This window comes from Homo sapiens, chromosome 5 (assembly GCF_000001405.40).
Source record: "Homo sapiens chromosome 5, GRCh38.p14 Primary Assembly".
NCBI classification, from domain to species: Eukaryota; Metazoa; Chordata; class Mammalia; order Primates; family Hominidae; genus Homo; species Homo sapiens.
In genome coordinates, this window is record NC_000005.10 from 127,270,732 (window position 1) to 127,283,709 (window position 12,978).

At 39.8% G+C, this 12,978-nt stretch overlaps 2 protein-coding genes across 5 annotated transcripts in view; one reads left to right on the forward strand and one right to left on the reverse strand.

The window, feature by feature from the left end:
- MEGF10 (multiple EGF like domains 10) overlaps positions 1–12,978 on the forward strand; it is a 231,923-nt gene that overhangs the window by 41,432 nt on the left and 177,513 nt on the right. The window contains exon 3 of one of the 2 annotated variants that reach the window (XM_017009987.2): positions 8,281–8,335. The exons of the other annotated variant lie outside the window; for it this stretch is intronic. Within the exon in view, the coding sequence (XP_016865476.1) occupies positions 8,281–8,335 (55 nt within the window). The remainder of the gene's footprint in view (positions 1–8,280; positions 8,336–12,978) is intronic. 2 annotated transcript variants of the gene reach the window in all.
- Positions 1–12,978, reverse strand: part of LOC105379199 (uncharacterized) — a 37,642-nt gene that overhangs the window by 16,797 nt on the left and 7,867 nt on the right. For all 3 annotated transcript variants that reach the window (XR_007058921.1, XR_007058922.1, XM_047417987.1), the window contains exon 2: positions 11,482–11,578. Coding sequence is in view for 1 of the 3 variants with exons in the window: in XM_047417987.1 (XP_047273943.1) it covers positions 11,482–11,578 (97 nt within the window). In the remaining 2 variants the exon portion in view is untranslated. The remainder of the gene's footprint in view (positions 1–11,481; positions 11,579–12,978) is intronic.

Here is a 12,978-nt window from a genome sequence, read left to right on the forward strand (position 1 = left end):
TCTGATAGGACCCAGTTTGTTTGTTCCCCTGCCATGTGCCCATGTGTTTTCATAATTTAGCTCCCACTTATAAGTGAGAACATGCGGTATTTGGTTATATTTTCCTGCATTAGTTTGCTAAGGATAATGGCCTCCAGCTCCATCCAAGTCCCTGCAAAGGACATGATCGCATTTCTTTTCATGGCTGTATAGTATTCCATGGTGTATGTGTGCCACATATTTTCTTTATCCCGTCTATCATTGATGGTTAATTCCATGTCTTTCCTTTTGTGAATAGTGCTGCCATAAACATATATGTGCACGTGTCTTTATAGTAGATGATTTATATTCCTTTGGGTATATACCCAGTAATGGGATGGCTGGATCAAATGGTATTTCTGCCTGTAGGTCTTTGAGGAATTACCACACTATCTTCCACAATGGTTGAACTAATTTACACTCCTACCAAGAGTGTAAAAGTGTTCCTTTCTCTCCATAACCTCACCAGCACTTGTTTCTTGACTTTTTAGTAATAACCATTCTGACTGGTGTGAGATGGTATCTCATTGTGGTTTTGATTTGCATTTCTCTAATGATCAGTGATGTTGAGCTTTTTTAAATATGTTTGTTGGCCACATGTATGTCTTCTTTTCAGAAGTGGCTGTTCATGTCCTTTGCCTACTTTTTAGTGGGGTTTTTTTTTTCTTATAAATTTGTTTAAGTTCCTTATAGATGCTGGATTTTAGACCTTTGTCAGGTGCATAGATTGCAAACATTTTCTCCCATTCTGTAGGTTGTTTGTTTACTCTGTTTGATATGGTTTGGCTGTGTCCTCACCAAAATCTCATCTTGAATTGTAGTTCCCATAATCCCCATGTGTCATGGGAGGGACCCAGTGGGTGGTCATGGGGGTGGCCACCCCCCATGCTGTTCTCCTGATAGTGAGTGAGTTCTTACAAGATCTGATGGTTATATAAGGGGCTTTTCCCCCTTTGCTTGGCATTTCTCCTTCCTGCTGCCATGTGGAAAAGATGTGTTTGCTTCCACTTCTGCCATGATTGTAAGTTTCCTGAGGCCTCCCCAGCCCTGTGGAACTACGAATCAATTAAATCTCTTTCCTTTATTAATTATCCAGTCTCAGGTATTTCTTTATGGCAGCTTGAGAATGGATTAATACACTATTTCGAGTTTCTTTTCCTGTGCAGAAGCTCTTAAGTTTAATTAGATCCCATTGGTCAATTTTTGCTTTTGTTGCTATTGCTTTTGGGGTCTTTGTCATGAAATCTTTGCCTGTGCCTGTGTCCTGAATGGTATTGCCTAGATTTTCTTCTAGAGTTTTTATAGTTTTGGGTTTGACATTAAAGTCTCAAGATGGATATCTTGACTTGATTTTTGTATATGGTGTAAAGAAGGAGTCCAGTTTCAATTTTCTGCATATGGCTAGCCAGTTCTTATGGCACCATTTATTAAATAGGGAATCCTTTCTCCATTGCTTATTTTGTCAGGTTAGTTGAAGATCAGATGGTTGTAGGTGTGCCATCTTATTTTTGGGTTCTCTATTTTGTTCCATTGATCTATGTGTCTGTTCTTGTACCAGTACCAGTACCATGCTGTTTTGGTTACTGTAGCCTGGTAGTATAGTTAGTATAGTTTGCCTCCAGCTTTGTTCATTTTGCTTGCAATTTCCTTGGCTACTCAGGCTCTTTTTGGGTTCTATATGAATTTTAAAATAGTTTTTTTCCAATTCTGTGAAGAATGTCAATGGTAGTTTAATGGAAATAGAATTGAATCTGTAGATTGCTTTGGACTGTATGGCCATTTTCACGATATTGATTCTTCCTATCCATGAGCATGGGATGTTTTTCCATTTGTTTCTGTCCTCTCTGATTTCCTTGAGCTGTGGTTTGTAGTTCTCCGTGATGAGGTCCTTCATTTCCCTTGTTAGCTGTATTCCTTGGTATTTTATTCTTTTTGTGGCAATTGTGAATGGAAGTTCATTCATGATTTGGCTCTCAGCTTGCCTGTTGTTGGTGTATAGGAATGCTAGCGATTTTTGCACACTGATTTTGTATACTGAGACTTTGCTGAAGTTGCTTATCAGCTTAAGAAGCTTTTAGGTTGAGATGATAGGGTTTTCTAGATATAGGAGCATGTCATCTGCAAACGGAGATAGTTTGACTTCCTCTCTTCTTATTCGAATACGCTTTATTTCTTTCTCTTGCCTGATTGCCCTGGCCAGATCTTCCAATGCTATGGCCAGAACTTCCAAAATAGGGGTGGTGAGAGAGGGCAATCTCTAGATCCCCTTCCTAGGGGTATGTACAGACCTCCCTCCTTGCCTGAGTTGCAGCCACATTTGTTGGGGATCCTGGGGCTGGAGTATGTAAAGCTCCCAGGTCTTTGTGCATGCCGGAGCAGCTGCTCTGCCAAGACTCCACACAGCAGTGTGTGTTGGACCCAAAACCCTGATGGCATGGGCTCACAAGGGGATCTCCTAATCTGAAGGTTGTAAAGATCTGTGGGAGAAGTGTGGTTTCCCAGGGTGGTGCATTCACTCACTGCTTCCCTTGGCCAGGGGTGGGGGTTCCCTTGGCTCAATGTTGCTCTTGGGTGGGCTATTGCCCCACGCTGCTGCATGTCGAAAAAAAAACTCGACATGGGTCGAGTTGTTTCCCCTCATCAGTCCCAATGTGAGTACCTGGATATTTCAGTTGAAGGTGCTGTATTCACTCCCTGCTTTCATTCTGCTCTGTGAGTGCCATGCACTGCAGCTGCTTCTAATTGGCCATCTTGGATCCCTTGAATTCTAACTCTTAAGCCTTATGTATATATGTTAAAGATACAGACTGCAGAATAACTGCACTACTTATGAGATATTTTCATGTGGATAATGAAACCAGATAACCATAGCAATTGGTGCTGATCATGAAGATTCCTGAAGTAAACAGATGGCCTTTACTTCTCTGCTTTTGAAAAGGTCTTAATTACATGATAAGGTCATACACACAGCTTCATTTGAATCTATATAGTAGTATATTTGATAGCATGCTTTTCGTAAACTATATTTGGAAGGCCAAAGAACTAACATTTATCAAATACCTACTTATGTACAGGCAGCATATAGGTACTTTAAATGATTCAGCAGGCATTAGCCGCATGTAATATTTAAGTTTAGAATTTAAATTAATTAAAATTAAATTAAATGAAATTAAAACTCATTTCTTTGTTCACACCAGCTATACTTCAAGTGATGAATGACCATGTGACCTTAATGAACAGCATAGATATAGAGCATTTCCATCATTGTAGAAAATTCCACTGGACAGCTCTGGATGTCTATCTCAATTCTTTTTTCAGAATGAAATCTAGCAATCTTAAATCATGGTAAATAACACCATGAAAAAACAATCAGCCCAGAATGTGGTGTTTTCTACAAAGAAACCCAAACAGATCTGAGATCTTATAAAAGTCAGTATCATGGGGAAAAAAAGGTAGGGGCAGAAGATATTGTTCTAGATTTAAAAAGACTTACTTAAAAGAGCTAACAACCAAATGTAATGATTGATCCTGATCTGAACGGAAATAATTTTGTGAAAAATTTTTGTTTCAATGAAGAAACCTGAAAATGGACTAATAGATATTAGATAATACAATAGAGTTATTTTCAATTTTGCTAGGTGTGATAAAGGTATCATGGTTTTGTAAGAGTATATTTCAATTTTTTGGAGATCTATGCTGAAGCATTTAGAAGTAAAGTATTTTCATATTTTAAATTTACTTTAGAATGATATAATAAAAATAGATGGTAAACCAACTATGCCGTAATTGTGAAATGTAGGTGGTGGAAACTATTATATTATTTTAAATTTTGATATATTTTAAAACTTCTAAAATCAAAAGATTTTAAAAATCTATTTTTTTTAATGGATTTTGCCTTTGGTGTCACACTTAGAAAATGTTTTCTCAAGCAAGGGTTTTAAAAGTAATTACTGAGATTGTCTTCAAGTATTCTTATGGGTCATTTACTTTAATACTTAAATCTTTTATCTCTCTGAAATTTGTTTTGATGTGATGTATGAGATAAAGATGACTTTTATGTTCAGGTAGTTAGATGGTAGTGAATATTTTGTTTGATTCTCTAAATTTATTTACCATTTTTTTCTAGAAAAGCCCTTGCTTTTTCTTTAGGGATCCATATCCCTCTCATTTTTCTGGTCATGTGTTTTGTGTAATAACAGTAATAGAAAATTATAAGCCTCATATTCTTTAATTTACCCTTGGCTAAGAAATAACTGAAGGAAAAACCATAGTGCTTGTTGGTAGTTTAATAGGAAATTGAAAGAATGAAAGTCTGTTGAGGCACCAGCAGACAAGCCCTGGGCTAGCCATCATTATATTGTGTTAAATAGATAGGAAAAAGCTTAGACAGTACTAACATATCTGTTACCATAAAACGAAAGTTAAAGTATATGTTTATTGCCTGTCTTATATCAAAAAGGAAAGTTTCTATGCCTGTTTTATAAGAAGGGATCAGACAATAATATGAAAAGCATTCCAAGTGTTTCAAGTAGAGGATTTACTACAGTGCATCAGGTGCTTAAATAATCAAGGGCTGAAGGAGAGTGAGTCAGGGGCCTGCCACTAACTTTTAGGTGCAGCACCACAGAAAGTTAGAGTCTCTATCTATCAGAGTCGGGAGCTTGCAGGAAGCTCCTGCTTATCTCATGGGACTTTGTAGCCCCAAGATGGGTGGAATGGCAAGGGACATAGAAACTACTACAGAAACTCACATTTAGGAGGCCCATGCTATGCCTTCTACTGCTGCCAGAGAAAGAAGAGAAATAATTTCTGCCTTACTGCTGCCTTTCGAATTCGAAGATCATGTGAATTTATCTTTAAGATGGAGACTAAAAATACCTCCAGAACTCTGCTGGCTAGGATGTCACAGAAATACACTTCTCAGGCTTCTGGCCTCTGCACTGTAAGGAAGGATGGAAAAGTTTATAAGGTGGGCTGAGTGTCAATAGACAAATCCAACAGAAGGGGTGAAGGACTTTCCTACATATTTGAATGTTTATTTAAAAATTCAAGGGATTGTTGACACCGAGAGTAGACTGTTTTTGTTATAGGAAAAGATATTTGTGAGACTATTTGGTGAAGAAAGCAATTTGAAATTGTGAATCATATTTGTCATAGAGGATTGGTTTCACTCACCAATTGGTTAGAATTCACTTCCTATGACATCATCTAATCTAGCAGAGCTTCCCCAACTGATGGGTCAGCCAGCCCAAAGGGTAGTAGGGGTGGCTGAGCAGGGCTGGGTAACCAGGAAAGTCTTGCTAGGGGCTCCAATTCCCTTGTTTACCATATTATAACCATATAAACATAACTATCTTTTTCTTAGTGTAGTCAAAGCACTGCACTTAGTGAAACAACCTTCTGTTGTTTTCATGTCAGTGACATTCCAGAGTGTGAAGACTCCGAGGTAAATTAATGTACAAGAAATGTAAGGAAAGGCTCTGCCAGAGCACTTGCTCTTCACCTGTGTAAACACATCATGACCATTTAAGGCTGTAAACCGTAGGATATAGTATTAATATCCCAGAGGGTAGTTGGGTAAATAACAAGGCAGGCTAATATGAATTCCCTGGGTTTAAAGAAAAATTAAAGCCTTGATTAATTAATTCATTATGTGCAGCTTCTCCTCCCTTCCTTTACTTTTATAGCAGGAGTGAGATAATTATTATAATCTGAGAGATAAGCCTGCTTCAACTGAGAGCTGTGTTTGGGCAACTCTGTGGTTTGGGCAAATGGATTAAGTGACTTAATAAATTCATATTCAGAAGACTGTGATGTTAAAAAGAATTTCCTACTTAGGAAAGATAATTTCCAAGTGGAAAACAAAAATCCTCTACTGAGTTATAAAACTTTTGTTTAAAATATATTCATTATATTTGAGAATTGCTATGCATGAGGACATCTCTTCATGCTTGAGATACATCAGTACACAAAATAGGCAAAGATTAAGAAGTTTTTATTTTAGTGGGAGAAAGACATAGCAAACAATAAACATAATGAATAAGTAAATTATATAGGATAGTAGAAGGTGAAAAGTGGTATTAAAAAAGAAAAGGTAGAGCATGGTAAAGGGGATCAGGTGTGTTGGGGAAGGGGTGATGGGCTACAATACTGAATAAGAAGGCTCATTGAGAAGATGAAATTTGAGTAAGATGTGTAGGAGATCAGGGAGCAAGCCACACATTCCAGGCAGAGGGAACTGCAAGGGCTCTAAGGTAGAAGTCAGTCTGGTGTATTTGAATAAAAGCAAGGGGACCAAAGTATCTGAAGTATAGAGCAAGAGGAGAGCAAAGTATCTGAAGTATAGAGCAAGAGGAGAGCAGAAGATAAAACCAAGAAGCACTGAGAGTAGTGGATACCATGTGCGCTTCAGGACCAAGGCACTCATTTCCCCAGGTGCAAGAGTTTTTGGATGTAGATGGCTCCTAGCTCAGTTCCTCATCTGGAATTGCCTTCAACAGAAAAGAACTTCATTTGCAAGGTTATGCTCTCTCCTGGGAGCAGACCACATCCAAAGACTGTCATTGAGGGAGTATAGGAGTTGGGTGCTCTTGCCTCAATTCAGGCCAGCTCTGTGGGCCTATTGTAACTGTATCACAGTCCACTGGTCCTTCTGCCGAATTCTGCTTTCCTCACTTCCTTACAAGTGTTACTCCTGAGAGCAAACCCAAGAAACCTCCTGCTTACAAATCTCCATCTCAGAGTCCATTTTCTGGAGAACAAGACTTGAAACAGAGGCACTGTGAACACTTTGACTCTAAGATGGGAGAACATGGGGGCTAGAGTAAGAGAGAAACATGATCTAACTTATGTTTTAACAAGATAACTTTAGCTGTGGCACTGGGAGTGGTTGGTGGAGGGTTAAGGTCAGAAACAGGGAGAACAATAAAGAGACCACTGCATTAATTCAGGGGTAATGATGAAGGTCTGGAGTAGGTTGGTGAATGTATTTTGAAGGTAGAGCCTACAGAATTTGCTTATAGTTTGAATGGAGGGTGTGAGAGAAAGAGCAGCTCAAGGATGACACCAAGGTTTTTGATATAAGCAAATGAAAGGAAAAAGATGCCATTTGCTGAGATGGAGATGACAAGGATGAATTTGGGAAGGGCAGACTGTTGGGGGAAAATTAGGAGTTGGGTTTTGAACATATTAATTTTGAGATGCACATCTGTGAACCAAGTGGTGATGTCCAGGAGGCAGCTGGGCAGAGGTCAAGCCTGAAGATCTATATTTAGGAGTGGTCAGTAAAGGAATGGTATTTATAGTTCTGAGCCTGAATGAGATAGTTTATGGAGTTATTGTAGCTAGAAAAGAAAAGTGATCCAATGACTGAGACCTGGGCACTTCAAAATTTAGAGGTTGGAAAGATGTGAAGAAACCAACAAAGGTAACACAGAAGGAGCCACCAGAGAGAAAAAGGGAAAACTATAAAAAGTCTGGTATCCAGGATATCAAGTCAAGGAAGATATTCAATGAAGGGAAGAGAAAAATGTTTCTGACAATTGGTTTCAGCAAATTGGATCTCATTTGATTACCTTGAAAAAAAAAAGAGAGCAGTATTAAATTGAGGGTTGGGGCCAAAACCCTGATTAGAGGAGATTTAAGAGAGAATAGAAGGAAAATATATGATACTAAGTTTAGAAATTTAATTCAAGGAGTTTACAGTGAAGAGAATAGCTGTAGGAGGAGAACCAAACAGAGTTCTTTTTTTAAGTGGAAGAAATATTTGTGAATGCTGATGGGAATACTCTTGTTGAGAGGAGAGAATTAATAATGCAGGAAAGACAGGGAGAAATCCACGTCATTTGGGAGGCCCAAGGGAAAGAATTTAGTGCATAAGTGAGGAGGACAGCCTTAAATGAGAGTGTGGTCAATTCATCAGGAGGGAAGACAAAGCACACGACCAGACATGAAGGTGGATGACCAGCTGTAGTTGCAGAAGTTTGTGGAGATTCTTCTCTAATTGCTTCAGTTTTCTCAGTGAAATAGGGAAATGAGAAGCAAGGTCTTCAACTGACAGTGAAGATGAAAGATGAGATATTGGATGTTTGAAAAGAGAGAAGGTCACCATCTAGAAGAATGGAAGAGCAAGTGAACTAAGGAGTTATAATTGGGTTGCTGGGTAGTGCCAAGGATCCACTTAGTACTAGTAGTCATGAATTTAGAGTGATGCTCATTAATGTTTGTATTTTTACTTTTCTCCAACACATTAAATTGCACCAGTGCCACCATGGAGTTTGTGGAGAGTTGGACTGAACCAGCACTGGGATTTTGCCGGGTGAGTAAAATGCAGCAAGAGAGGAGCAAATGAGTTGAGTGTATGGAAGTAAATTACCATGATGACTGACCATGGTATTTAAGCCAAGTAAGGAGGGAGGCAAAGACTTAAAATGTTGAGGAACATGAAAAGGCTAGGATCAATGGATTTGGATACTGATTTATTAGAAGAATTATTTGAGTTGGTGCTCCAGACTGAGTGAACAAGAGAGTTAGAAAAATAATTATGGAAGAGTGAGGTGCTTGAAACTGAGATTATGGAGAGGCTGCAATTGTTGATCATGACAAAGTCTAGGTTGTGGCAATAGTAGTGAGTAGCTGAGGTAGGATGGAGAACATGTTCATTGGAAGAAAGGAGATCCTGGAACTGAGTGCCCAGGATTGTTGAAAAGGTCATCCACAGAGAATACTAAAATAGCCAAGAATTCTCAGAAATAGTGTTGGAGTGATAGCAAGCCACCCCTCAGCCACACTGGATCTCCACGGGTCATTCCCAACAGCATATGAAAACAGCAGTTCCTCCCACCGCAGAAAACTCTCCTGTGATCTTACATCCCTGTCTAATTACTGCCTCATTTTTTTGCTACAGTTTAGAATAAAACTTGAAAGACAATACTCTGTGTCAAATACTTCTCCTTCCATTCTAATTTGAACCCTCCCCAAATAGACTATCAACCCAGCACCCCACTATAGAAAGAGACTCCAGACATAGCATCTGTAAAATCAACCAAGGTAGAAGCTTGATGGGGTAATGCATGCACAATACAATTGATCTGATGCAGGATGGTGTTATAGACAAATCACTTAATTGAATCAAATCTGCTTTTTCCCTCCTGACTAGTTGATATAAAATGATCTGATCAATCTATTTGTCTTTTCTATTTCTATTTCTATTACTTTCAGGATGAAAATAGCAATAACTCACTAGTATTTACTTTTAATTTGATCATGAATATGTGGGCAAAAGAGTTTATATATTATTATATTGTATTAAAATAATATCCACTGTTTTCTTTCAAAAATACTTGGCTAAATTATTGTCGTACTTGTGAACAAATGAATATTAATTTTAACATGAAAACATACAAAATTTTTTTATAAATCTTCTTTGTTAAATATGAGAAAATGATCCTCTCATTCAGGAGGGGTGGTGTTGTAAATCATAACATTTGCACTGATTAAACATTTGCTGGTTCTAAGTAATTCTGCGTGATGATTCAGATGTGCCTTCTCTCTGTCAATATTACTTGATGCCTCCATTCATTGGAGGACAAATTCCATACAAGATGCAAAGAGATGCTCCTCATGATGGTGGTTCAGTTTTATTAATACATGAAGTGTGTGCTCAGCCAAGTCCAATATTTGCCTGGCTTTTGTTCACTTGTCTTGGTTTCATAATAGCATTTCTCCACTGGCCCCCATCAAGTTGTGTGCTCATCATCTGTTAACTGTGTTTCTCCCTGTCTGAAGTCTCCTGTAGTATGTATTTGTTACCTCAGTTGCATTCCCGTTTGTATTTGAGAAACACTCACCTTATTAGCAGGGCTACTACATACACGCGTGCAGTTTGTGCACTGCACAAAGGCTCCCAGCAGAGAGGGCACGTGAGACTGAAATCCAGGCATGCTGGATCCCTGATTGCTGACAGTGTTCTGTAGCCACTGGAGAAAGGAAAGATTCCTGCTTATTTTCCCAACTAGAGGCATGCATTTTCCTCATTTTGCACAAAGCACCTTATGGGCTTATAGCAACGCTGCTTATGAGACTTGCTGAGAGGAAGAGCTTTCCTCGCAGGAGAGAAACAACAAAGGGCATATACTTGCTTCTTAGGACTCCTTTCCAAAGGGGCCTTGGGCATGCGTCTGAGGCTCGGCCAATCAGATGCATCAGCCCTGGGCTTTGAATTGGAACCTGGGACAATGGAGAATTCTTTTGGCAGCTCAGGGAAGTCAGCAACCTCCTATTCCCAGAGGCAGTGGTTGCCTCAGAGTCAGTGTCCAGGGCTGAAGGCATTGACGGTGAGAACTCCAGCATCTGGCATCCAGTGGCAGGGCTTTCCCAGACCAGTTCCGAGGAATGATTTTAACCCTGGGAGCAGAACTTCATTCTGTCCTTGCACCATCTTCCTAACCTAGTCTTCCGGCCCTCTGGGTGTTATACTCAGCACCCAGTAGCTTCTCGATAAATTCCTTTTCTGCTTAAAGTACTGGAAGTCAGTTTCTTTTGCTGTGTAACCAGTTTATTGGAGAGTCAGTGGGATACTAACATGAAGCCCTTTTATTTGATTTCTCCTACATTGTTTTCAGGCATGCTTTGATGAGAGTTTTCTGTCCCTTCACGACGTCTCAGGAAGCGTCTGTGGCATTTCAGACACTTTCAGGTTTAAAAAGTTAAGTTTATATCTCGAGTGTCAGATTATATCCACTTTTTCACTCTTCCTGTCAGTCCAGGTGTGACCAGGGGCCAGTGGTCCTACCCTGGGGGAATTGTGTGTACATTGCTTCTCTCCTGCTCCTCTGCTTCCCGCTCTTCCTTCGTCTTTTCTGTATCTCCTGGAGTGTTGGGGTCTTGGAGCAGGGATGAAGGAAAGGACAGGCATCTGCTTAGCTGCTGCTGCTGTGGTGCACACGGGATGGCCAACTGTGCCTGTGGCAGATGTCTGGACACTGCTGAAGGGCAGGGCATGGGCAGGCTCTTCAGTAGGCCTAGCAGGGGCCCCAGTTGCACAGGCATCTGATGTGGGTGATGACCACAACCCGAGTTCTTCTGCCCCCTCCACCTTCAGCTCCCGCTCCTTGGCTGTGCTCCTCCACTAGCAGGCAACCCTCTTAGGCAGGGCAGGGACAAGATTGCTTAAGCCCAGATACCTCTTGTGGTGTCGATTTGGCCCTAAGGAAACTCAGGCATTTTTGCCTCACCAAACAATGGGAACAGAAGCTGCCTACTATCTCTTTCCAATTCCTTTCCTCCTGTTGAAATGTGTGGGGAGAGTAAATCTGCCTGCCCCACTTCACAGAAGTCTAACTAGGGTTGGAGATGGCTGGTTTCTACCTCTTGCTAGTATTCTTCATCACTGTGATTATTTCTCTTGCTTCCCCCTCCATTTTTACTTAACCTGTCATAGGAGGGTAGAAATATTCCTCTTACCTCTTATATGTGGAGCAGAAAAGAAGTCACCCATTGGGTTGATGACTCCCACATGGCAGGAATTCTGATGACTCCTCTTGAGTTTCTTAGTTTTTTCCTATAGGGGAAAAGGAATAGGGGTTGGGGTAGCTGCAGCAGTGGTTTCTGGTGGTGTCGAAGTTGGTTTTCTGATGCCTTTTATTAAGTCCTTCAAGGAGTGGATTTGGATACACGTTCAAATATGCACCAATTATGATTTACTCTCTGAGACTATGCCCATGGTTCCCCAAAATTGAAATCCCATTTACTTTACTGCTATACTTGTAATAAAGGCCTGACCAATTCGCAGCGCTGTGTCCAGTATAGTTTATTGATGACTTAGAATCTATTGCATTGGTGCAAAAGTAATTGCAGGCTTTGCCATTACTTCTAATTACTTTTAATGGCAAAACCTGGAATTATTTTTGTACCAATCTAATAGTTTCTTTTCCCAGTGGTATCCTCTTTTCTTTTTGGGACAACATCCCCTCTCCCCACTTTTCTGTGCTTCTGGAAGGATGGTGTATCAGGCACCTGTCTCACTATGGAAGTTTGAAGGGCCAAAGCCTTCCTGTTTTCTCAGAATAGTCAGGAGGAAGTGCAAAACCTAAGTTCAGTCAAATGAATGCTCTCTCCTGTGACTTTGATCTTGAGAGCATCATGTGAAGACTAAGGAAAGAAATGGTTCAAGTTCATCAATCTCAGCAGGGACAGCCTGACCAGATTGGTTCAGCTCTGAGACTATGGCTTTGATTTTTTTTTCCCCAGTCCTCTAAAGGGATTCTTGCTCATTTTTAACTTTGGGCCTCCCAGCTGCCCTCTCTTCTGGAATCCCTCAGTGTTGTTTTTATTAAGTTAGTTGGAGTTGGTTTGTGTTACTTGAAAACAAGAACCCTGACTGATACAGTATGCATTCATATTGCAGACAAAAGAAGATCATACTACAGGAAATGTTTTATTCCCCCTGATACTTACATCATTGCCATATTCACCTTCAGTCAACTTTTGCAACTTTCTTTTCACACACATTCATAAGTCCTCATTATGCAGAATATTTAGATTTATTTATTCCAAATTGTAATAGATGTATTCACTATATCAAATGTTGAAATTTTAAAAAAAGCAATTTCAGGAAGATATTCATGTCTTTACTTCTGTGATTCTCTGGTCTTGGTATATGGAAGATAAATCCTGTTTCTTGCTGAACTACTTCCAAGCATGATCCCACTCCACAGTAAGTCTATGTTTACAAGAATATCCTAGATAGGCATGCTGCCCCAATACACCAGCAATGCTTTTACAAACTGCCAGTCCAGACACATTTGGGAGTCCTAAAAGTAATTTAACATTTAAATAAAACAATACAGAATAGAACTTTGCTTCTCAAAGTGCAATCCAAGAAACAGAAGCATCCACGTAGGAGTTTGTTAAAATGCGGTCTCCACCCTGGATACTGAATCAGAACCTCATATTTAACAA